General features: G+C 37.2%; 1 protein-coding gene across 16 annotated transcripts in view, besides 3 other annotated features; it reads right to left on the bottom strand.

The window, feature by feature from the left end:
- Positions 1 to 26,876, bottom strand: part of ADGRG6 (adhesion G protein-coupled receptor G6) — a 144,255-nt gene that overhangs the window by 14,667 nt on the left and 102,712 nt on the right. For 15 of the 16 annotated variants that reach the window (XM_005267061.4, XM_006715516.3, XM_047419106.1 and 12 more), the window contains 8 exons: positions 25,767 to 25,907; positions 23,326 to 23,445; positions 21,676 to 21,721; positions 20,184 to 20,290; positions 16,499 to 16,626; positions 15,531 to 15,799; positions 14,226 to 14,322; positions 11,491 to 11,774 (listed from right to left, as the gene is read on the bottom strand). In XM_005267061.4, the coding sequence (XP_005267118.1) occupies positions 11,491 to 11,774; positions 14,226 to 14,322; positions 15,531 to 15,799; positions 16,499 to 16,626; positions 20,184 to 20,290; positions 21,676 to 21,721; positions 23,326 to 23,445; positions 25,767 to 25,907 (1,192 nt within the window). Of the gene's footprint in view, positions 1 to 9,417; positions 10,598 to 11,490; positions 11,775 to 14,225; positions 14,323 to 15,530; positions 15,800 to 16,498; positions 16,627 to 20,183; positions 20,291 to 21,675; positions 21,722 to 23,325; positions 23,446 to 25,766; positions 25,908 to 26,876 lie in introns of those variants that run through there. The other variant, XM_017011085.2, reaches the window with a different exon arrangement.
- Positions 17,789 to 18,083: an enhancer, noted in NCBI's record as "tiled region #3748; HepG2 Activating DNase matched - State 15:Elon, and K562 Activating non-DNase unmatched - State 24:Quies". NCBI's record gives its function as "activates a minimal TATA promoter and a strong SV40 promoter by Sharpr-MPRA in HepG2 and K562 cells {active_cell/tissue: HepG2 | K562}" and the evidence as "EXISTENCE:reporter gene assay evidence [ECO:0000049][PMID:27701403]".
- Positions 17,789 to 18,103: a biological region, named in NCBI's record as "Sharpr-MPRA regulatory regions 3748 and 6738".
- Positions 17,809 to 18,103: an enhancer, noted in NCBI's record as "tiled region #6738; HepG2 Activating DNase unmatched - State 15:Elon, and K562 Activating non-DNase unmatched - State 24:Quies". NCBI's record gives its function as "activates a minimal TATA promoter and a strong SV40 promoter by Sharpr-MPRA in HepG2 and K562 cells {active_cell/tissue: HepG2 | K562}" and the evidence as "EXISTENCE:reporter gene assay evidence [ECO:0000049][PMID:27701403]".

Genomic DNA, 26,876 nt, shown 5'->3' with positions numbered 1-26,876 from the left:
GAATATGCTGTTCTAGCTTTCTGGAAAGAGCATTAAGATGTGACTGGGACCAGGACAATCAGGTTTTATTCTTCATAGTACTTGAAGCTTTATTTAACATTGCCCATAAAAGGTAGAAATAAAATGGCCCAAAAGACTGAATGCAGAGTTAAAGCTTTTACATCATCCTGAAAAGCTAGTGCCAGTTTCAAGAAACCTTCATGTATCACAAAAGGGAGCTCATGATAGACCTTTTTTGGTGCATTTTAGCCTGGAAAACTACCACTCTGGAGAATCCAAGCCAAAATTCCTTAGAATTAAGTTTCTTCAGCTTGATAACTGCCTTGATTCTTTAAGAATCCATTCCATGCTAGAACAATAAGGAAAAAAACCTTCATGCTTGTTAAATGAGCAGATTCCTAATCAGCTCCCAAAACTTTCATCCCATCCTTAGTCCTGCCTTCATTTCACTTCCATCTTTCACTAATCAGAGATATATGCTTAGCTTTAAAAAAAAAAAACTGTAATTGTGAATTGAAAATGTTTTAATTCTCAGTAAAATTTGCAATTTCCTCATTTAAAATAAATAACATTTTAATTGTAATGGAGAAAGGGTGTTGCAAGTAACACACAAGTGCTGAAAGTGGGCCTACGGGGGTTGTTAGGACAGAAAATTTATCAAATGCCAACTTGTCTAATACTCCTAGAGAAAGACTCCTACGGGCCAAGGCTGGCTCAGCAAATATAGTGAAGGAAGATGGTGAATAAGCAGCCAAGAAGGTTTTCAAAACTTGGAGTGAGAAACATTCTGAAAAATCTCAAGTAGTGAATTTAACTTTTGATATCTAATCCTTTCATCTACCAGAGAACACAATCAAGTAGCATGTTTGAAAAATAATAATACACCTATTTCTAAGTATTGGCATTATATTTACTGTAGACTATATGGGGTTGTGTTTAACCTTGGTCTTGTTAGAGCTATTTAACTATTCGGGGGAAAAAGATACACTTAGATATTTAGGCTAGAAATTTGGCTCCCACATAGAACTCATTCCTTTTGCTTGTTTCAGGCTATGATCCATGGCTTTCTGGGGGCAAATGTAAAATCAGTAGCCAAAGGGATGTTCTCATATCTTTCTGGTTATCAAAAGTTAAAGAATTTCTAGAAAGAGTTTCCTTGGATACTACTATACAGTAAAATTCGAGGCAATGCATATTGTCATTTACTTGGTGCTCTAAAAAGTCCCTTTGAAGCATCTAGGTAGAGTGGGGGGAAACAGACAACCTTGGGTCCTCATCTCTTAGAGTTCTTCAACAACTAAAGGCCACTGACACTTTCAGCAGAATTATCATCAATAAACTGGATAAATATTCTAAGTTGACTTTTTCTTCCCTCGGATAATAAATATCCAGAAATACAATTAAAGGGAAGACTTGCAGATATAGATAACTTCAGGGATGTGAGATGGCATTAGAGTGGGTAGTAATGACTGGTGTTTTAATCAGGTCATGAGCATAACATACTCTGGCAGGTTTTTTGTTTTTGTTTTTCTTTTTTTTCCCCTGAGACAAGGTCTCACTCTCTCACCCAGGCTGGAGTGCAGTAACATGATTATAAATCACTGTAACCTTGAACTTCTGGGCTCAAGCAATCGTTTTGCCTCAGCCTCCTGAGTAACTAGGAATACAGCCACACCACTACACCTAATTTTTCTATTTTTATTTTTGTAAAGATGGGGTATCACCATGTTGCCCATGATGGTCTTGAACTCCTGGTCTCAAGAAACCCTCCTGCCTTGGCCTCCCAAAGCACTGGTATTATAGGCGTGAGCCACTACACCTGATCAGTTCTGGAGTTTTGGTGGGAAAAACTGGTCAAGAACTAGTTACAGCAGATATTTGAGAAGAAGTGGCCACACACTCTAGGTACCACTGATTTTTGACCAAATTAGTCTAGATGACCTCTGAGCATCCTTAGTAGCCTGTGTCCAAATCTTTAAACAGCTCCTGTTTTCAGTTGTCACACAGACACAGTCAGCTGGCTATGGGGCTGGGGATCTTCAAGGGTTTATGGCTCTCTCTGGAAACTTCTTAAATCCTCCTTTCATACTACCAAGGTGCCCTTTAGAAAATTATTTCTCTGTGGCACAAAATGCCCTGCCAAAGAGTGAGTAATTTATTTCCTTGCAGCTGTAATGTCTCAGCCAAGCTGATGTTTCACTTGTGAGGGACTGAATTGGTGGGTCATCTCTTTACCTTGGCACCAATTCAATATGTGTATTATACATGTAATTATGTAACAGCTCAACTTTCATGAGGCTCCTAACCTCAGCCTCCAGTGGCAAGGGACACTTCATTGATATTTGGCATATTTCACCTCATACTTTGACTTAATTTTCTTAGTTTACCAATACTATAATAATAATACGCATTTCTCTAAATTACTTAACACTGAATAAGGGTAAGAGATTAAACTATCCTCTACTCATTTAATGTATAGTTAGTAACAGCTCTTTTTTGAATGGAAGTAGAATATTCTCTGCTGCATAGCAATTTGTATACCACAAAATTTTCTGCTTGTATTCTTCAGAAAAAATTTAAAATTTCAATACAGTGATATGCCTGTTTTATCCTGGAAAACAGCAAAAATAGCAAAAGCAGATAGACATGTAATTCAACTATGTTAAGAGAAGGTACACTTATCTTTTAATTTTTGCAGGAAAAAAATCAACAAAATGTTTACTCTGTAACTTAAATTAAGTAGGTGATATGGTTTGGCTTTGTGTCCCCACCCAAATCTCATCTTGAATTGTAATCCCCATAATCCCCAAATGTCAACGGAGGGAACTGATGGGAGGTGACTGGATCATGGGGATGGTTCCCCCATGCTGTTCTTGTGATAGTGAGTGAGTTCTCATGAGATTTAATGCTTTTATAAATGTTTGGCAGTTCCTCCTTCACATGCTCTCTCTTGCCTGCCACCATGTAAGATGTGCCTGCTCCCCATGCTGCCATGATTGTAAGTTTCCCGAGGCCTCCCCAGCCATATGGAACTGTGAGTCAATTAAACCTCTTCCCTTTATAAATTACCCAGTCTCAAGGAAGTTCTATATAGCAGTGTGAAAACTAATACTGTTAGTAAAATTAAAAGACCAAAGCATTATCCTGTGGATAATTAGAAAATAATAAATTTGGTTTCAGCCTTGATTCAATTCATGATGTCATTTGCTTATTTAAGTAGGTAAAATTTTTATAATCAAACAGATAGTAACAATTTTCTGATACCCATTTAACATAATTTTTGGCAATTAAATTATACAGTTATAAGTGTACATAAAAATAAAAATACATGCTAGAAATAAAAATATAAAACATACAAATAAAAAATAAAAATAAAGCATATATAAAATTTTATAGATAGACTCTTCAAATTTATGTGAGTACCCATATAATTACACATGTATATGTGTTTATAAACACATACCCCTTCATACATTTCCAAAAATCCTGAAAGATTAAATGGAGTTTTTAACATGCTTGAGCCAAAGTTTTGAAGAAATAAACAAATGTGACAAGAAATCTATCAAAAGTCATTCCTTGGATGTATATGTCCTGATATGGTTTGGCTGTGTCCCCACCCAAATCTCATCTTGAATTGTAACTCCCACAATTCTCACACACCGTGAGAGGAACCTGGTAGGAGGTGATTGAATTATGGGTGCAGGTTTTTCCTGGGCTGTTCTCGTGATAGTGAATGAGTCTCACAAGACCTGATGATTTTAAAAATGGGAGTTTTTCTTTACAAGCTCTCTCTTTGCCTGCTGCCATCCACATAAGATGTCATTTCCTCCTTCTTGCCCTCCGCCCTGATTGTGAGGCTTCCCCAGTCACATGGAACTGTAAGTGCAATTAAACCTCTTTCTTTTATAAACGGCCCAGTTTTGGGTATGTGTTTATCCGTAGTGTGAAAACAGACTAATACAGTAAATTGGTACCAGAAGTATGGTGCTGCTGAAAAGATACCCAAATATGTGGAAGCAACTTGGGAACTGGGTAACAGACAGAGGTTGGAACAGTTTGGAGGGCTCAGAAGAAGACAGGAAAATGTAGGAAAGTTTGAAACTTCCTAGAGACTTACTTAATGGCTTTGATAAAAACGTTGATAGTGATATGGACAATAAGGTCAAGGCTGAGGTGGTCTCATGGAGATGAGGAACTTGTTGAGAACTGGGGCAAAGGTGACTCTTGTGTTTTAGCAAAGAGTCTGGCGGCATTTTGATCCCACCCTAGAGATTTGCGGAACTTTGAACTTGAGAGGGATGATTTAGGGTATCTGGTAGAAGAAATTTCTAAGCAACAAAACATTCAACAGATGACCTGAGTGCTGTTAAAATCATTCAGTTTCAAAAGGGAAACAGAGCATTAAAGTTTGGAAAATTTGCAGCCTGACAATGGTATATAAAAGATAATGCCATTTTCTGAGGTGAAATTTAAGCCAGCTGCAGAAATTTGCATACATAATGAGTAGCCAAATGTTAAACATCAAGACAATGGTGAAAATGTCTCCAGGTCATGTCAGAGATCTTTGCAGTAGCCCTTCCCATCACAGACCTGGAGGCCTAGGAGGAAAAAGTGGTTTCATGGGTCAGGCTCAGAGTCCCCATGCTTTGTACAGTCTAGGGACTTGGTGACCTGTGTCCCAGCTGATCCAGCTGCCACTAAGAGTCCAAGGTACAGCTCAGGCTGTTGCTTCAGAGGGTGGAAGCCCAAAGCCTTGGCAGCTTCCATATGGTGTTGAGCCTGTGGGTGCACAGAAGTCAAGAATTGAGGTTTGGGAACCTCCGCCTAGATTTCAGAAGATGAAATGCTTGGATGCCCAGACAAAAGTTTGCTGCAGGGGTGAGGCCCTCATGGAGAACCTCCGCTAGGGCAGTACAGAGGGAAATGTGTGGTCTGGGCCCCACACAGAGTCCCTACTGGGGTGCCATCTAGTGGAGCTGTGAGAAGAGGGCCACCATCTTCCAGATCCCAGAATGGTAGATCCACCAACAGCTTGCACTGTGTGCCTGGAAAAGTCACAGACACTCAATGTCAGCCTGTGAAAGCAGCTGTGAGGGAGGCTATACCCTGCAAAGCCACAAGGATGGAGCTGCCCAAGACCATGGGAACCCACCTCTTGCATCAGTGTGACCCAGATGTGAGATATGGAGTCGAAGGAGATGATTTTGGAATCTTAAGATTTGACTGCCCTGCTGGATTCTGGACTTGCACTGGGCCTGTAGCCCCTTTATTTTGGCCAATTTCTCCCATTGCAACAGCAGTATTTACTCAATGCCTGTACCCCCATTGTATCTAGGAAGTAATTAACTTGCTTTTGATTTTACAGGCTCACAGGTGGAAGGGACTTGCCTTGTCTCAGATGAGACGTAGGACTGTGGACTTTTGAGTTAATGCTGAAATGAGTTAAGACTTTGGGGGACTGTTGGGAAGGCATAATTGGTTTTGAAATGTGAGGACATGAGATCTGGGAGGGGCCAGGGGTTGAATAATATGGTTTGGCTGTGTTCCCACCCAAGTCTCATCTTGAATTGTAACTCCCACAATTCCCACACATCATGGGAGGAACCCAGTGGAAGGTGATTGAATTATGGGGGCAAGTCTTTCCTGGGCTGTTATCGTGATAGTAAATGAATCTCACAAGATCTAATGCGTTTAAAAATGGGAGTTTTTCTGCACAAACTCTCTCTTTGCCTACCGCCACCTACATAAGATTTGATTTGCTCCTCCTTGCTTCCCGCCATGATTGTGAGGCTTCCCCAGTCACGTGGAACTGTAAGTCCAATTAAAGCTCTTTGTTTTGTAAATTGCCCAGTCTCTGGTATATGTTTATCAGCAGTGTGAAAATGAACTAATACATGCCCTGATGCCACAGCAGACCCAGCTCAAACACATGCTCCCACACATCCCGCCTCCATAACATTACATGGTGACCCTGCTGACTTTAAGGTGCCTCCCTGCAAGCTAAATCTAAAAGGGACTAAAATATGTTTAGCACAGTTTTAGCTTTCAGGATGTTGCTCTGCATTCTAAAGCTTTAGCCATTGTTAAATATTGTAATGATAGGCATCCATTAACTATAATATTGTATTAACAAGAAGACTTCTTACTCGAATCATTCTAGAAAAGTAAGAGTTTAATGAGCAAATCAATGATGAGTATTTTGTAGCAGCATGCTTCCTAAATTTCCCTTGGTTCTGTGCACATCTCTCTAGCTCTCTCATCCCCACCACAGTCTAAAATACTGGACCAACTTTTCCCCAAACACTGAGAGTCTCCTCCTACCTGCTCGCCCTACAGACCCTACTGGGCAGCTCTAATCCATTCACCACATTAGGTACAGCTTTATCTTTACAAAGTGCACATCCAATCATGTCACTCCACCTTTCAAAGACTTCCTATTGTGTTTATAAAGATTGAAATACAGAGCCTTCTGGTCTAGTCCTTGCCTCTCTGTTGTGCCTCTCTGCTTTGTCACTATCCTGCACTTTTGTTGTTCTCAGGATATATGAGTTTTCTTTTAATACCTTGAATATACACTGTAATCATCAACTATAGCAAATTTTTTGCACATGAAATGCCCACTATCTCAAATATTATTCTTCCTACTCTTACTCCCATCTTTCATCTAGTTAATTCCTATCGATCCTCCTGATTTCAGCTTAGATATCATGTTTTTTTGTAACACATTCTCAACGTCACAAGGTAATTTCTATAGAGCAATATATTTAATTAACCTGTCTCCCCTACTAGAATATAAATTCCATGAGGCAGAGGGACCACATCATGATTTTTGCTGGAATGACAAATATAAAAAAGAGAAAAAATTATTCCAATCAATAGAAAAAGAGGGAATCCTCCCTAACTCATTTTATGAGGCCAGCATCATTCTGATACCAAAGCCGGGCAGAGACACAACCAAAAAAGAGAATTTTAGACCAATATCCTTGATGAACATTGATGCAAAAATCCTCAATAAAATACCGGCAAACCGAATCCAGCAGCACATCAAAAAGCTTATCCACCATGATCAAGTGGGCTTCATCCCTGGGATGCAAGGCTGGTTCAATATACGCAAATCAATAAATGTAATCCAGCATATAAACAGAGCCAAAGACAAAAACCACATGATTATCTCAATAGATGCAGAAAAAGCCTTTGAAAAAATTCAACAACCCTTCATGCTAAAAACTCTCAATAAATTAGGTATTGATGGGACGTATTTCAAAATAATAAGAGCTATCTATGACAAACCCACAGCCAATATCATACTGAATGGGCAAAAACTGGAAGCATTCCCTTTGAAAACTGGCACAAGACAGGGATGCCCTCTCTCACCACTCCTATTCAACATAGTGTTGGAAGTTCTGGCCAGGGAAATTAGGCAGGAGAAGGAAATAAAGGGTATTCAATTAGGAAAAGAGGAAGTCAAATTGTCCCTGTTTGCAGATGACATGATTGTATATCTAGAAAACCCCATTGTCTCAGCCCAAAATCTCCTTAAGCTGATAAGCAACTTCAGCAAAGTCTCAGGATACAAAATCAATGTACAAAAATCACAAGCATTCTTATACACCAACAACAGACAAACAGAGAGCCAAATCATGAGTGAACTCCCATTCACAATTGCTTCAAAGAGAATAAAATACCTAGGAATCCAACTTACAAGGGATGTGAAGGACCTCTTCAAGGAGAACTACAAACCACTGCTCAATGAAATCAAAGAGGATACAAACAAATGGAAGAACATTCCATGCTCATGGGTAGGAAGAATCAATATCGTGAAAATGGCCATACTGCCCAAGGTAATTTACAGATTCAATGCCATCCCCATCAAGCTACCAATGACTTTCTTCACAGAATTGGAAAAAACTACTTTAAAGTTCATATGGAACCAAAAAAGAGCCCGCATCGCCAAGTCAATCCTAAGCCAAAAGAACAAAGCTGGAGGCATCACACTACCTGACTTCAAACTATACTACAAGGCTACAGTAACCAAAACAGCATGGTACTGGTACCAAAACAGAGATCTAGATCAATGGAACAGAACAGAGCCCTCAGAAATAACGCCACATATCTACAACTATCTGATCTTTGACAAACCTGAGAAAAACAAGCAATGGGGAAAGGATTCCCTATTTAATTAATAAATGGTGCTGGGAAAATTGGCTAGCCATATGTAGAAAGCTGAAACTGGATCCCTTCCTTACACCTTATACAAAAATCAATTCAAGATGGATTAAAGATTTAAACGTTAGACCTAAAACCATAAAAACCCTAGAAGAAAACCTAGGCATTACCATTCAGGACATAGGCATGGGCAAGGACTTCATGTCCAAAACACCAAAAGCAATGGCAACAAAAGCCAAAATTGACAAATGGGATCTAATTAAACTAAAGAGCTTCTGCACAGCAAAAGAAACTACCATCAGAGTGAACAGGCAACCTACAAAATGGGAGAAAATTTTCGCAACCTACTCATCTGACAAAGGGCTAATATCCAGAATCTACAATGAACTCAAACACATTTACAAGAAAAAAACAAACAACCCCATCAAAAACTGGGCGAAGGACATGAACAGACACTTCTCAAAAGAAGACATTTATGCAGCCAAAGAACACATGAAAAAATGCTCATCATCACTGGCCATCAGAGAAATGCAAATCAAAACCACAATGAGATACCATCTCACACCAGTTAGAATGGCAATCATTAAAAAGTCAGGAAACAACAGGTGCTGGAGAGGATGTGGAGAAATAGGAACACTTTTACACTGTTGGTGGGACTGTAAACTAGTTCAACCACTGTGGAAGTCAGTGTGGCGATTCCTCAGGGATCTAGAACTAGAAATACCATTTGACCCAGCCATCCCATTACTGGGTATATACCCAAAGGACTATAAATCATGCTGCTATAAAGACACATGCACACGTATGTTTATTGTGGCATTATTCACAATAGCAAAGACTTGGAACCAACCCAAATGTCCAACAATGATAGACTGGATTAAGAAAATGTGGCACATATACACCATGGAGTACTATGCAGCCATAAAAAATGATGAGTTCGTGTCCTTTGTAGGGACATGGATGAAATTGGAAATCATCATTCTCAGTAAACTATCGCAAGAGCAAAAAACCAAACACCACATATTGTCACTCATAGGTGGGAATTGAACAATGAGATCACATGGACACAGGAAGGGGAATATCACACTCTGGGGACTGTGGTGGGGTGGGGGGAGCAGGGAGGGATAGCATTGGGAGATATACCTAATGCTAGATGACGAGTTTGTGGGTGCAGCACACCAGCATGGCATATGTATACATATGTAACTAACCTGCACAATGTGCACATGTACCCTAAAACTTAAAGTATAATAAAAAAAAAAAGAGAAAAAATTAGATATAATGTAGTTTGCCTCCTTACTACCTGAGTTCATTTTGCATTCACTGAATCATTTCTTTAAGCTGTCTAAATTCTACATGCTTCTTTTAACAAAGCATATACTGCTAACAACAAAGCCTCTCTTGGAAGGTTCTGAAAATGACTCAACAATAAAAACCATTAAGTAAATTTCCATAGCATCCTAAGAAGTTTTGGCACAAGCCTGGGCAGCAAGCAATTGTTGGTAGACTCATGTGCTCTGTATCACTGCCTTTTAATTTAAATTTTCTTTCTGGGAGGTGTTTTAATATAATTAAATGTGCTGAAATCTGTTCTGAATTTATATGATTTAAAATTAGTCTTAAAAGTCAGTGATTTATGAAGAACACTGAGTTGATGATGGTTTACAACATTTTTCCCTCCTGACAGGGGACCCATGCTGGGAAAAATAAAACATCCCAATTCTCATTAATGGAAACAGAGCTGAACAGACAACTGTAGCTGTTGAAGGTTACTGAAACTGCCAGGAAATTCTAAAAGCAAAACCAAGGCTGGGCTGGCAGATCAATGTGCCTTTTATATACAATCCTGAAATATGAAACCATGGAATTTCTAATGTTAATGGATACTTTTGTCAATATTTATTTAAGCACTTTTATGTTGTATATTATAGAAGAGATTAAATAGAGGAATACTCACTTTATAAAGCTAGATCCCAATAAAGATGTATTTATATGCTACATACTCATTTTCCAATTTTTGGAGTTGCACTTGAGGCTTATTCTATGGACTAAAGATAATGAGCCTACATACTTCCTTTGTTATAAGACAATGAACCTGAATAAAATTTGCTGAACTAGTTAATACATATTTATGCCAGAGGCATCTCAGATTGGAATAGGCCATCCCCAAAGCCTCTTTCTCCATCTAGCAATCCATTAATTTACCAATCATTAAGCACCTACCATGTGACAATTATTTTGCACTTCACAAGCTAGTGGAAGAGCATGGGAGATAAGCAGTAACCAACTCTCCCCTGCAGATAACTACAGACTTTCTTAAAACACACTTGCAGGGAGTACCCACCTTGGCACCTCATTTGGTGAGTAATACAAATCTGCTTTCCACCCCAGCTCAGATATATTCAGCAATTTCTTCCCCAGACATCTACAACTGCAAGACCAATAGCTTCAGTTAAGCCATTTGCACTGCTCTACTCAGAAACATTCCAAGCATTCTAATTTCTTTTAGAGTGTTGGCCTCATGGTGCTTCTGCACACTAAGGAGTTTCATCAACAGTACAGGGTATATTCAAAATCTTAAAGAATTCCATTTAATGATCTAAAAAGACAATTTATATTCCCTTAAGCTTAAAAGTTAAATTTATTATAGAGTATACTATGGTATGTATTATGGAATAAGAGGTATGACTGCAAGCTCTTTGAAGGAAGCCTGGTATTTTTATGCAAAGCAGACCATTGACAAATGTTTGTTGAATTGTTGAACTAACTGTGAAATGTTCAACATTTCTCATAAAAAGATAAAAGTTCCTGAACTAGAGTGTTGGTATTTATTCTGAAATCAAAGGACCCAAAAAATCAAGGTGAACTGCTACTGTTCTTACATAGACTCTAAAAATTCTTCTGGCCATCAACGGTAAATCTTCAGGGGACAGGATGTATGAAGAGGACCAACATTCAGCAAAACTGTGAAGAAGGTAACTTGTCTGTGCATCCCTTTAAACTCCCCGTTTGGTTCTCAGCTAGATACTTCCCTTGCTCCATATTCATTCATGAAATAATATGCATTTATGGAGTACCTACTATCTGCCAGGTACAGTGTTCTAGGTGCTTGGCATATACCACTGATAAAAAGGCAAAACTAACATTCTACCTCATTTATCTATTCAAGACCCTTTTAACAAGTGACCACACTGCACATGGAACTATATTCAGCACTTGAAATAGTGACACAGAAACTTAACATGGCATCTGTCCAAAAGTGAAGCTGCTTGCAAATATGACAAAATTAGAAAGCAGAGACTATTCATGTACAATTTATCTTACCTTGTAATGAATTGAAGATGGAGAAGAGGTACATGAAGGGGATATTTAAGGGTCCCCAGGCAAAGAATGCAAAACCCCATGTCATGCCCAACAGAAAGGTCAAGCTAACCACACTGCGCAGGTTCCTTAACACTTCTTCTCTCAGGGTCCGGTTGCTTCTCTTGCCATTCCTCCCACAGATCTGCACCATTACCACAATGAACATGGCAATGTTCAGAAAAAACATGACTCCAAAATACCCAGCACAGGTCACATAAAATATGACTGGATCTTGAATCCAACAGCTTAAAAAAGAAGAAATGAGAAAGAAAAAAAGATTTATTACCATGTCCTGTTTACCTAAGACTTTTCTCAGCTTAGTTTGGGCTACTGCAGATTTTCCTCTCAAATGTCTTTAGAAAGCCACTTTACTTCCTTGGACCTCAGTTTCTTCTTCAATCTCTTCATAGGTCTTTTGTTCATTTGTTTTTGGATGGCCATTGTCTTAATATCTAGGTAAGCCAATATTACAAAGAAGACAAGGTTGCTTCCTGATTTCTGAGTTGATATGAAAACACTCTTGGCTGACTTGTTCCAAGCCATGTCTAACCTCCTTTTCTTTTGGGTGCCTGTACACTGAGAATGGGAAATTTAAAAACTAATTTTTGGTCTCCTTTGTATTTAAGGAGTGGCTGTATGACATCGTTTTATAAAGTGATATGGAAGTAGAAGTCTGCCAAAGGATTTTTGGAAGAGCTATTAGTGGTAGACTCAACTGGCAAGGTCCTTATTCCTTCTTCCTGCTTCAAACGTGCAAGTGAGCTATGGAGCCGCAGCCAGCATCTTCTGTCCAATGACAGAGAGGTCAAGCCTGCTGCAGAGTTGTTGGCCCTGACATTTTTAGCCACAAAATCCATGCCAGTGATTGCCACTACCATGTTTCTTGTCATGTGCAAAGAGTAAACTCCTACTCACTTAAGTCACAACTAGTTGTGAGTTTGTTACTGTGGCAAAATAATTACTACTAATATCATTGCTGTAGATGAGGCAAGACCTTATAATTGAGATTAATATACAGATGGTTGTCATGCACAATTACGTAGCTTACAATGATTACAAAATATCCCAGTGACATGGAGAAGAAGATACTTGATACTTATAATATATATATTGGATAGTAGATTAAAGAAATTTTAAAACTGTACTATATGCAAAGTTGTCAAATAATATAATTTGTAGATGTCCTAGTGCCTAATCGACGCTATAGGAATTCTTAAGACACCTCAAAAATTGAATAAATGATTTAAAGCAACTAAATTCATCTTGAAATTCTAGCACAAATGGTTATTATTCTGGGCCATATCTTCCATGTTGGAACATAACCTCCACAAAGGCAAAAGCTGTCCTGCACATCTTTGAATTCTAGAAACTAACATGATTCTGGCATACAGTAAATTATCAATAAATGAAATGTCCTAATGGTATAGCAGTTTACTAAATGGTACTTTAAAGTTCTGTATGAGTTGATGAACATACTTCTAAAATTCTCTTATTTAGAAATTATTTATTAATTTCTACTTTTAATGTATGTTGTTATAAATGTCCCTGGAATAATGTTGCTTGTCCCTAGAGCTAACGTTTCTTTTACACACAGAAGTTCTTCTAAAATTCTGGAATTCCTCACCTAGCCCCATTATTTTTCCCTAGTTCTTGTGGGGTCTTTTGAGTGCCACTTTACAAATATAAGAGATGGCAAGACTGTGAAGAAATGGGACAGAGATTGGATAAGTGATTGGATGTAAGTGGGTTTTTTTTTTTTTTTTTTTTTTTAGATGGAGTCTCACTCTGTTGCCCAGGCTGGAGTTCATGGTGCAATCTTGGCTCACTGCAACTTCCGCCTCCCAGATTCAAATGATTCTCCTGCCTCAGCCTCCCGAGTAGTAGCTGGGATTATAGCTATGCACCACCATGCCCAGCTAATTTTTGTATTTTTAATAGAGATGGGGTTTCGCCATGTTGGCCAGGCTGATCTCAAACTTCTGACCTCAGGTGATATACCCAGCTCGGCCTCCTAAAGTGCTGGGATTATAGGTGTAAGCCACTGCGCCCAGCCGATGTAAATGTTATCCATCCATGAGATATGCATAGATATGTGGCATGATGGGTCCCATTTCAGAAATAGGCTCTTTATTCATTCAGTAATTTTTTCAATCAACATATATTTATTGAGTACCCATGGTGGACTAATAAAATAGGAGATCGGTAACTGCCCAAACTGAACAATATAAAACCCTTAATCTCAATGATCTCACAATCTGAAGAGAACTTTTGAAATTGTTTAAGAACATGCTGATTTCTCCATTCTCTAAATTTCTACCTAACACTCCCATTGGCAATGAATCATTCACTCTCTGTCTGATACTGCTATTTAACTCTCTTGAAGACGTGGGTGGGTTTGAGGAGGTGAGAGTGTTATGAAATCTTCTGAAATAGAATGGGTCTTCTGAGGCTAAAAAACTGTCTTAGGCATTTTCTCAATTCCTCCATATGACAGAGTACAATGTTAATATGAAAAAGTGTCTCAAACATTTCAGGGCATTCAACTGAATTAATCTGTGGTGTAGCAGAGATTTTGGCAGTCATGTGAATAAACATCAACCTTTTAAAATGAAAGCCTTGTTATTGGCATGGAAATTAATGCTAAACTTCAGGAAACAAAGGATATCTACTCATCACAAAAAGTTTTTATTACTTACAATTCATCACCTTTTTCTTTCCCATAACTTTCTTTTCCATAGACTTCATTGTTGTTTCTGCTCGCTAGAACAACTGACACCACTAAGGCAGGCAAACCTGTTACAAAAACACCATGACACAAACTCTTTTGAAGCATCTGAAACTGCTTCATAAGACTGCTAATGAAATGTAAAGAAAAGAAATGAAAAGAAGAGAAATGCAAGCAAGCCAACATTCCATATCCCAGATTCAAACTTCTTAGAAATGGCAACTTGGTTAACAACAAAATCCCCTCCTTGGGGTTCAATGTCCAACTCTAACTGGCAACAATCCAAACCTACTCTTAAATGACAGATATTTAAATAAAATTCTGTTTGCTTAGTGGGACTCACTGGAAAACTAAACCTGATTTGTATCAAATCTAGCACTAGTGAATGTGGTTTCATTAATTAAGCCTTGTTAGACTGGCAGAGTTTAGGCAGACAAGGTCATTACAGCCTATTTTGCCTCCTTCTATATAAAGAAAACTCTTTAGAAAAAGTGGAGGAAAAGCAAGGGGGCTATAAAGTCTTTGTAGCCTTCTCTCCCCAGAGATTGAATAAAGTATTTCCATGTATATTTCAGTGGGGAAATGCTATGGCAGGCATCCCAGGTCTCTGAAGAGTGTGCTTATTGCCTCCTGAGGTGGTTTTGAAGGTCTTGAAAATATCTCTCACTTATATTTCCATCTGAAACAGATCTGTGAGAAAGCTCTAAAATGCCTGGCTCAATATGAAGCCTGCAAAAATAAGGGAGCACAATAGAAGATCTCAAACAGGTTAATACAACCACCTATGTCTGACTGAGGACTCATGTTATTACAAAAAGTTCAAGGCAATAATCCTATAAGTATTCTGGTTGCACACGCAAGAATAACATTCTTTCTCTGGTTTCCAAGACATAGGCATGTGTCTGGGGATGAGTGTAACTAGCCGTCTGAGCTGGCCTTTGTATTTTAAAGCATCATGGAAAAGACATCACTGCCTGCCAGCTGCTTCTTCAGACTTGGGTGGGCTGGCTCTGGGCTCAGGAAATAAGTTTGTGGTGACTCAGGGAGTGAGGGCTTTTCCTTTACTCGTGTATATAGTGAGTGCTGTTGATGAGTTTTAAAAAATAAAGTTGTGAAGATGTCCCTTCCTTAGGCTATGTATATCTAATCCATGCCATTCACAATTTTGAGGTTCCTCTTAATGGTACTATTTTTTTTTAAATAAGATTTTTTCCTATGAGAATCTGGCAATTTTCATGAGGGAAAAACAAAACCAAAAAAATTTTAAGAGGCTTACCCCAGCCAATGATGCAGAATTTTAGAATGTATCGGCGAATGTAAGTGTTAAATACTTTAACTAGAGCAATGTACATGTGAATTGCTTCTAGCCCCATCCAGGTAAAGGTTGCCAGAAGGAAGAAATGCAACAGGACTGCAACAGCAATGCAAAGTCCATCCACATTGAAGGAGGTGATCCAGCCATCTAGGAGGAAGAGGAGATTCAGGAACAGCAGGGCTGTGCTCAGGTTCATCAAGATTTTGGAGGGATAATCCCTTCGCAATTTCCTAAAAAATGAAAAAAGGAATCTATGAGAGAACTAATACTGTATATCAATCTTTTAAGCACAGGCCTGTATAAATTCGTATCTTATACAACCCTGCAATGAGATAAGTAGCACCACCTTTCTGATGTGGTTCTGCTAAAAGGAGGGGCTAAGGATATTTATGAGTATTTGGCAAGTTATAAAGACTTTAAAAATATTAGTTTACTTCAAAATTATTTCCAATTGTTTATACAATTCCCAGTTGGGCTTCAACTGAATTTTTTTTTAACCCAGGAAAAATTCTAGAGTTGTAAGAATGACATTTTTCTTAAAAAATAATTTCCCTAAATTATTTGAACCTTTTTGATTTTTAATGAGTTAAAAGGATCTTAAAAAAATTGTTTCAGGACTAATTTTATAAGATTATAAAACAAACATTTTCATGTTTTACAATACAGAAAGCACCTTATATAATTTTTACTTACTTAAATGTTAATCATTTCTAACAGATTTGAATGCATTTTATAAATAGAAATACAGCAATTATAAATTAAAATTCTATAGCTGGAAAATTCATGTTACATAATATATTTTATCAGAAACATGAACATTAACGTTCAACCACCCTACAGTGTATAAATGTTTTTCAAAGCCGAGGCAATTTTCTTATTCACATTTGGAACAGTTAGCAATGGGTTTGGCAGATTAAAAATATACTTACTCAAAAGCAACATATGTCAGGAGAGTTGCTGCTGAAAAAATAGCAGATATTCCACACCCAATATAGCTGATGAAAGTGAGGACTTTAGTGTTTCTTGCATCTAACTGTGAGGCACTTCTTGGAAGGTCCTACATAAAACATGGCGAGCAGCTGTAAGAAACTCTCTTCTCATGAGAATGGTTCTCTGTTTCACTAGAAAGTTCACTGTTAACATTAGAGCAGCTTACTCTCAGGGGCTAAAACCAACAGTGTAAATCAATATTAAAATTTCCATTTATTATATTATTTTCGATCAATAAATAAAAGAAAAAAATGCAGCATTACTTCTGGAAGTCGTTACACATTGTTTTTCATCATTACCTTCTTTCCCAAGCTTTCTGCAAACCGGTATAACCTGAAGATCAAAACCACCAGGACTCTCAACAGAAATTGGAGAGGAGACGGTTGCCTTGCATAATAAACCATCAGGCCCATTCCTAACAGTTGCAGGGCTTGGGGCACCAGTTCAAATGGAGACCACAGTAGTCTATATGGCCAAACCCTCAAGCCTTTAGGTTCCTTGCCAGGTAGCAAGGAGCTCAGCCAGAGGCTGGTGCTGGTGCTGTGACTGCCAGGCTCTAAGGGTGGTGCGGAGGCTCCTAACCCTGGTTATTTCAATGCTTGGTATGTATGAGGTGGGACTGTCTTTATTTTCATAACTGAGATGCCATTAAGACTTTTGGGGGTCATAGACTTTTTTATTCCTATAGTACTGAAAGGATACAATTTAAATTATTTGGGGCTGTTGTGGAGTGGAAAGAAGTAAATACTTTCCAGTGTATTAATATAAAGTATTAATTTCAATGTGCTAAGGGAGACTTACAGGTCTGGACTTGGTAGAAAAATCTTTCTTTTCTGCCTTAAATGGGGGATTGGGATAGGAATAAATCTTGAGGTAAGACCACTCACTCAATCCTGGTTGGAGGAGAAAAGTACCTCCTTTATGTAGATGTTAAAAAATGGAGTGTTCTTACAGAAGGGATGTATTGAATATCTAGCGTAAACTTTTAGGTTTTAAATTATGGAGAAAATGTTTATGATTTTTCCTTCTATATGTAAATTGCCTTTAACTGTCATCAAAATGCCAATAAAATCTGCTACTCACACACAGGCCTTAAGTTGTGTGTGTGTGTGTGTGTGTGTGTGTGTGTGTGTGTGATAAAGAAATGTGGGTTAGTTTCAGGTTTCACTGATGCAGTAAAGAACAGGTACAGTATCTCTGCAACATCAAGCCATGCACGAAGTGATGGAATTCAGCAGAAGCAGAGGCTCAGAGTCTGAGGGGGCTCCCCCTATCTTCTTATCCCAGGAATCCCTTAAAACACTGGGAGAACACGGGGCACCCAGGGTACATGGGATGGGGTTTGAGTTGGTGCCACTTGATTCACAGATAGGCTAACTCAACCAATGATTCATCAGCCCAGAGAGATGAATCATGGTTTTGAGAGATTGCCAAGTGATGTGTCACAAATTCTTGAAAAACCTATGACTTGCAAATCACAATTAAATCCAGAATTTCAAATAGAAATTAAATAAGGCTGCTTACAGATTTGTTTACAGATTTATACACAATTTCATGTTGTTTTGTTCTTTTAGAGAATGAAAATATGAAAACTTTTATGATATAGCCAATATGAAAATGTACTAATCTTCATGAAAGCCAGTTTTAGTACAAAGAAATGTAGCAGAAGACATTAAATTCTTGAAATATTTGTAGACCAGAAGATATAATTATAGGTATGAGGTGCATTGTTTTAGCATCTCATATGGTGAACTGGTGAATGTGTCATGGGACAATGCAGACTCTGGGAATATCTTATACAAGTGAATAAAGAGTTTCTAAGTCAAGAAAAACTCTTAACAAAGTCTTGGTGGTCTGGAAAAACTGAAAAGATAAGAGAACATCACCAAAAAGGATATGTTCTGAAAAGATTTTCTACCAGCAATTTTTAATATTACAAAAACAGACAAGGTAGAAAATGGAAAGAGAACATGAATGATGCTTATCTTCACATATATATATATATAATTAACCATTCAATCAGATAGCAGCAGAAAAAATAATGCGTAATTACAAACTCATAATAAAATTTAGACAATATATGAAGGAACTGGCCATATGAAGTCGTGGGCAGGCAAACTCTGGCTTCATATAAATCATCTCTGAAGAGTAAATTTTGTTACTGTTATCTATTTATTTAATACCAGACTTACAACATGCACATAGTTGAAATATTTAAATGAATTAAGCTAAAGCTTACATACCTGAATGAGTAATCACAAAAAATAAGTGTTCTTTGAAAGAATGCCTGCTATCACTTTTGCAAAAAAGAGAACATGGAAGGAAACTGAATTTTCTTTTATAATTACTTAAGGAAAACATGCAATAGTTAATTGTTCATTTTCATGCTTTGACAGCAAAAGGAAAATATTTGTATTTTAGATAGTTAAAAAGGTGTCTTCTATGATTTATCACCTTTTTAAATGACTTGCTCTTATTCTGCAGAGCATTTATGTACTTGATTGTCAGGAAAATTACAACTTGCAGGGTTGCCATATGACAATGGCCATTTACATAGGCTGAGTAGATTTGTGAGCCAAATACTACATCCCACAGATCCTCAAGGCTTCCTCCCAGTCCCCACAGGAAGAAGGGTGCAAGATTTAAAGGCGGGAATAAACAAAACCTGACGTCTGTGATTCTAATTTGAAAAGCTTTATTGCCTCAGCTCACATCACTCCTATCTCCTATTAAAAAACAAATGTGGTTTGGTCCCTTTATGAAAACCAAACAGAAACAAAGGCTATGCTACAACCCAGAGCATACCCTGGAGACCAGAAAAGTGTTTGCAAAATCACAGGTAAACTGGATAAAAGGGAAAGGTATAAATCTATGGATGAGTTCAAAGAAGTCGCTGGATGCGTGGTGCGTCTTAAAATTTGGTGGGATAAGAAAAACACATTGACGCAATCTAATTTTGTTTAAAACTGTTTGGCAAGCTGGCTAATAAGATAAAACAGGGGCATGGAAGAAGGAAGGAAAGAATGATATAGAGGCCTAAGAGTGACAGAAACATCATAACCATTATCTCTCTTGCAGCTCTGAAGTCTCCATTCTAACCCTAGTCACTAGTCTGTCCTAACAAACTGCAATCTCTAGGAGGGAGATCACTCGGTGCAGTACCAGGTACAAAGCAACGTTCAAATATATTGAATGAGTGACAACATAAGAAAAATTTTTTTGATTACACTATTCACAATTCCCTTCCATGTTAGTAACACCCAACATTTTCTTCTTTAACTTTCTCTCCCTCCTCCCACTTGTCTCCCCGTCCATCTCTTTGACTCTGTTTCTCTCTTAATTAAAAAGTTTCATGAGGATTTTCTTGTTTCTGGGATTATTTATCATCACTGTTAATGCTACAGGAAAAAAAGGGAGAAAGTTCTTTTCTATAATTACTTTCACATATTTTTAATATGTGATCTTTGCTAATTAGATTCTTTATTAAGAATTAAGATTCACGGTACAGATGAAAACTATCAGGAAATAATTCCCAAAATACATAATCTAAAAATACATACAAAAAAGGAGTATGCCATCCAAAGTTACAGCATGTCAAAATGAGCTTAGAAATTCCCCCCTTACCATCAGAACTCCAAAGTGTGTGAAGTGGTTACACAGGCAGACTGTCTCACTTGCATCTGAATCTCTGTGTGCAACACATCCTGACGTGTTCCATCCTCCAAAACTTTCTGTTGAAGGAATCAACAAACAGTGTGAAAACAGCAGGTCAGTTTCTTCTCTATAATGGATGAGACCTTCTATAGAGAAATTTGCCTCAGTCTCTTCTGCCATACAGAGTTTATCTGTAAAATGGATACCATTATGAAAGTTTTCAATGCTTAGAATAATTTGGATTCCTAGAATAATCAAATGTTAGCTCTGGGTGGGCAGTTAGAGGTGATCTAATCAGTAGGTTCAAACTTGAGAGTTCCACAAATGTTTGATTCAAGTTTAATTTTTAACATATTTTAAAATGAACTTCCACAAAAAGAAGACTCATTTTCAAATACACTACACACTAATGAACCAACAATTTTTTCTGAGGGTTAATCTACATTTTCATGAAGACATAAGAACAAAGAAGGTTTGCTTTCTTAGAATGTGCCATTTATGTATACAAAAATCATGAATGGTAGTAACTGATTGTAAATGGCTTGAAACCACCTTATTTGACTTTCATGGTATAAAATGGAATATGAGCAATGCATATTGTCAATGTATTGAATCCATTTATTTAAATAATATTTTAAGATAATAAAGTGATACTTTTAACTAGGTAAATGAGTAAAGATCTTCTCAAAATTATGCAACTAAACCCCTCCACCAAAAAACTCCTGTCTTGCTGTGACAAGAACTATCAAAAAAAGAAGTTTTTGCCCTTTTCAGGCTGTTTTCATCAGCAAAGTACCCTGCCTTTATATCAGAATGAATCTGGCCACAATAATCCTCACAAGGGGACAAACAGAAGAAGCTTCTTTATTTGTACTTCCTTTCAAAGAGATTTACACCTTATGCCTACTGATTGATTCATCCCTTAATTTTGCCTTCCTTTCTTGATTGTCAAATCTAATTCTGCAGGCTCTTCATCTCTTTCAAGTAATATATGTCCATTATATCAATTTCTATATTTACATTCCTTCAGTCAGCTTCTCACCTCCCTCATAACTGGAGGTCTGGAAGCTGGATTTTAAATTGTCTGCCTTACACATATCAAATAATCCCCTCAACTGTGTCTTAGAAGAATGAGATTAAGTGCAAGTCTACTTTCATCAAAAGTAGCAATAAAATTGTATGCTGTATTTTATAAATAACTGATGTCAAAGAGGTTGTTCAACTGAAAAATGAAAGAAAACACAGTGAAGTCTGCCTATTTCTTCTTGCAATGACTAAAAAGTTACAGAAATTAGAACTGACTTCCCAAGCTACCTAAACTAACTTTGCAGCTCATTTGCCATTTACACTTACATTGTGACTCACTCTGGTTTGGGGTGGAATTAAAGGAAATGGGGGTGTCTAACAATGTTTAAAATTCAGTTGTTATCTATATTAAGACAACCAATATTTTAAAACTTACTGTTTTTGTTCAGATCCCAGAAGGCACAGATGGGATGATGCACTTCCTATATTAACATAAGAATAAACATGTGAAATTGTGTTTAAAATGCCATGATTTAAATATGGCAAAAGAATAAAAACACGAAGGGTTTCACAAAGAAATAGATTAGTATTAACATGCCAATTCAACCTGAAAATGTAGGCAATTTAGGGGGATCTTCTTCTCTCCCATAGAGACTTCAAGCGAAAATCAACTCTAACCTCATAAGGAATCATACTACCTACTCATTTATCTGTAGGTTACTACAAATGTCCCATCATTAAGTATATTGATTCTACTCTCATTCTTAGCATTTAGAAAAGCTCTTGACACTACAATTTCACATCATCTTCAAAATTCTCCTTTATGTCTGGGTATTTACATAGACAAATTGAAAACAAGGACTCGACAAGATATCTGTAGACTCATGCTCACAGTAGCATTATTCACAAGAGCCAAAAAGTAGAAGCAACCCAAGCGTCTATCAATGAGGAATAGACAAACAAAATCTAGTATATACATACAATGAAATACTCTTCAGCCTTAAAAAGGAAGTCAGTTCTGACAGATGCTACAACATGGATAAACCTTGAAGACACTGTGCTATGAAATAAGCCAGTCACAAAGGACAAACACTGTATGTTTCCACTTATATGAGGTACTTAGAGTAGTGAAATTAAGAGACAGAAAGTAGGATGGTGGTTGCCAGGTGCTATTGAAAGGAGAGAACAGGGAATGGGTATTTAATGGGAGGAGAGTTTCAACTGGGGAGATGGATAGTGGTGATGGCTGCATAACAATGTGAACACACTTAATGCTATTGAACTGTACACTTAAAAATGATTAAGATGATACATTTATATTATGTATGTTCTACAATTTTTAAAAATCGTCCTTTATGAATGAAGGGGCTGAAACAAAGGAAGCCAAAGTGTTGAACACGGAAGTCTAAGACGGTTCGTGGCAAAGGAGGCTAGATCTTAGGTGACTTGGCTTTCAATCCTCAGCACACTCATTTCCAGCCTGTCTTCCTGCCTATCTAATAAATGGCAGAATCATGATGAGGGCCCTTTGGAAAAGTGAGAAAAACCTGTTCTTGGGCCATCTGGGACAATGAGAACTTCCATCTAATTTTATCAAACAAACAGATGACAAGGGTAATGAAGCAACAAGAAAAGCAACATTTGCAAAGACTAACCACTGCTAACCTCTCAAAAAATAAGTCCACCCTCCCCTGTTTCTTTGTTGGCTTTCCCAGTTGCAGTTATCTTTGCAAATATACACAGAAATACAAAGAAACAACCAAAACCTCTATTGGCAGAATTGTGCAACTACATCTGCATCTAATTTATCTGAAGCAATATATGTTATATCTGAAAAATAGAAGCCCTTCTCTTCACTTCCCTTCTCTTTCTGATTATTGAGTCCTAGATAAGACTAACCTCTCCAGCTGCTTCAATTTACTGTGACTTTAAAGCACTACCTGATCAGTTGTTCTCTCTTTATAGAAAACTGGGCCCTACTCCACAAAAAAAGGGTCAGTTACTTTTTAACATGTAGAAAAAAAGGCCCCACTAGTATATTAAATAGTCCACTTCTGTCCAAATGCTATTGGGAGCGTTTTCTTACCTGAGTTCTTGTATGTTTGATTTTTATTTGAACAGGATCCTTCAGATTCTGGATAGTAATGTTTCCAATACTGCACGCCATCACATAACTCACTAAAGTTTTTCTTTGGGGTCCTACATCCTTTTAAAGAAAAAAAAATCGCGTGTATCAGTCAGAAGTACACTTTTATTTTACTTTGGTGCTCCAAAATAAGCAAACTGTCAGCAATTTTTACACTTAAGATCTTCAGTTCTAGAACATCCTGTTTATCACATCAAGTTGCTGGCTTTCCTGAAGGAGGTTTGCTATTTCCCTTATTATAATAAATACATTGAGGGAATGTTGGGAGCCAATATTGTAAGACTGAGTTCATAAAACTACATTCTTGATTGTGGTGACTGATGTCAGCCAGTTAACAACTGAAACAATGCAGACTCATAAATAATATAAACTCATAAAAAGCTGTGAAACAATTAGATCATTTCCCTACTTTAGAAGATAGATGTTGTTTTCTTTCAGAGAAGTATGAAGAAAATATGGTGTGAAAAATAAAAAGCAAGACATCTTTCACATCCATGCCAACAGCCTGACATGTTTACTAACTTATACCTAAAAGTAATACTGGATTCAAGTCCCATCCAGGACTTCTACCTTCTTCTCTGACTGTATACTTGCCAGCATCTGCAGATTTCACTTAAGCAATAAGGCTGTCAGGAAATCAAATCTGTCCCATAAAATGGTTTGGACCAATAAGCATTCTATTCTGCAAGTTCATCTCTATTTTTTTCTTTCCCTTGTATTTCTTGTCAAATCTCCTGAATTTCTCTTTATATCATAGCTTACAAATCAGTTGTTTTGGAATAATCACAGGATAAATTCCAAATAAAATTCAGCATCCAGAATATAGCTTTTTGTTAATTTTGTGTGGTGGTCATTATTAAACTCAGCTATTAGCTGGTGATACCCAGCCTTTCAGTAAAACACAAAAAAAAACACCATCACCATCGTACCTTGCCCTCTATGATAGGGGAGCACCACAGAACCTTTAAAGTTTTTTCATTCTCCTGTAAATTAACTTTAGAAACTGAACATATGCTTCCTTTTTTTTTTTTTTTTTTTTAAAGAGACGGGTCTCACTATGTTGGCTTGATTGGCCTTGAACTCTTGGTCTCAAGCAATCCTCCCTCCTCAGCCTCCCAAAGTGCTAGGATTACAGGCACGAGGCACTGCGCCTGGCCAGATATGCTTCCTAATAACAACTTTGGTAGAGAAATACCAAAGGAGAAGGAAACAATGATATGGAGAAGACTCAAAACAATGACAGATGCTTGCAAATCTAAGAGTGCAGGGCTAAACCTTCTCCCTGCACTGGACTCCATTTCTGTACCATTCACATTTTGTGGCACCTACATACATACATGTTTTGCTGCATTTTTATATTGGTTTTAAGGTAACATTGTCATACACTTCAAGTTACCATAATTTTTAAAACTGCAGTTGTACATGTTTATAGCTATTAAATCTTTCAGGATAAATTACACGTTTTATACAAAATATATAAATTGCATTCATATAAATCACCAAATTTGTATAGAGCTGGTTCCTAAAACATTTGTTGATAAAATTTTTAAATTTTGGAATTAACTACTGTCAAGGATTCCATGGTATTATTTTTCCTTGACTATATCTCTACTTGGCTGCTCCTCTACACATGACATATAAAGGCAGATCTATTAGAAACAATTCTCTGACCTTGAGACTTGCTATTTTATATAAGTCACATTGTTCAATATGCAATGATATCTTGAATTTAATAGATAAGTTTTATTTTTTAAAAAGGGCCCAGCGAACCTGCTCTCGATCAGGTTGTACTTGTAAAGGCAAACAGAGGTCACCAGTGTTTGCTGGCAGTGGGCCTTCTAGAATCTAGAAATGATGCCAATAAAAATGATAATATGTGCTTAGCACAATTCCATCTTACTCTGCGGATGTGTAAAGACCAAAGGTCACTTGAAATACTAATGGGAAAACTGATTAAAGCCAAGAATGCTGCTCATTATGTAAACAGTACTTACTGCTAAATTAAAGAAAAAAAAAAAACCCTTTCCTTTGGTGTGCAATTTCTTTAACTGTAAAGGCCTAAATGATTGGAGAGCATAAAATATTTAATAAAAGTAATAATAAACGGTCATTTCTTCACTAATTCAATTTCTAATTGTTTAATGCAAGCCTTAGCCTAATACTTGAATTATTTTAAAAATTGAAGTACATACAACTTGTTAATTAGCATATTATCTGAAATAAAATATTTAAACAATTATATTAAAAATTTTCAGTTTTGAAAACACAGTAAATTTTTCTAAACCTTCTGATATATTTCAACAGAATCTAAAGTTTTGTTTTCTTTGCTCAAAGAAACTTCATTTGCAGTTGAAAAACAATAATTTAATGAATGTGCTTACCTGGAAAAGTCCAGTTTTGTTGAAGAAAGTAAACTGTGCTCTTCTAACTAATACAGAATCTTCTGGACTTAAATTCTCAAGTAAGTTTGGAGGCAAAATTACAGATGCCAGTGGATCCACTTGTCCACTCTCAAAATCCATCTGTCACACACACACAGATATATTGGTCAAGTAATCATAATTGAATGGTAATAACTTTATTCCACATGTATAGTTAGGCGAGTGAACAATTGCAAGTTCAAATTAGCCAGTACCAGGACTTCCCTTTGTATCTACAGTAGTCACTGCAACTCCTGGATAAACCCCTACAGACAGAGCTGTAGATCTCATTTGGGTTTTACATGTGTGCCAAAGGAGAAAATGCATTGATTTTAATTAAGACATAGGAAGAAATCTATAAATCAGTCAACATTTTCAAGTATAAGAATTAGATTTACCAGCAGCAGATTTTGAGGTTTTCTCAAAACACGTAGTGAAAGATAATAACTATGGGAGAAAGGGGCAAGGGAGAGAGAAAGAGAAAGAGACTGAAGTTAACTTGTTGATTTCAGACTGCATTAAAATTTTATGAACACTCTCAGATAGCATTTTTCCTGAAACCATAGCTCAAGGACAAAGAATGCTTTCCTGCAAATTGTCTTGGAATGAGACGGAGGTTGACTGAGTTTTACTCTTAAAATGTGAAAAAGAATTACCCAAAAGAGCCCCTAGTCTAATGGAGAAAAAAGGTCTTGCCTGTATCCTGATTTCAGGCTTTTTATATTTTCAGTTTGTTCTATCTCCACAGTTAAAAGATATATTGTGCTTCACATACTATACTCTCCCAGGTCAAGGACAATGCTTCATTCATTTTGTTTGCTCTGGTGGCTAATAGTGCCTGGCATGTAGTAGGAACTTGAAAACTCTTTGCTTATGTGTCGCTTGAACATGTTGAAAAGGTTCTCCATTAATCCAGCCCCAGCTTATGTGTCCAGCCGTACTGTCACCTGCTATCCCAGACTTCTACATCACGGGTTCTCAAAGTATGATCCTTAGACCAGCAATGTCTAAGGAACTTGCTAAAAGTGCAAATTTGGTGGGCCTACCCAGGACCTACTAAATCAGAAACTC

The sequence above is a fragment of the Homo sapiens genome, chromosome 6 (genome assembly GCF_000001405.40).
Source record: "Homo sapiens chromosome 6, GRCh38.p14 Primary Assembly".
Taxonomy (NCBI): Eukaryota; Metazoa; Chordata; class Mammalia; order Primates; family Hominidae; genus Homo; species Homo sapiens.
Note: the sequence above shows the minus strand (reverse complement) of the source record. Positions and strands in the feature narration are given on the sequence as shown.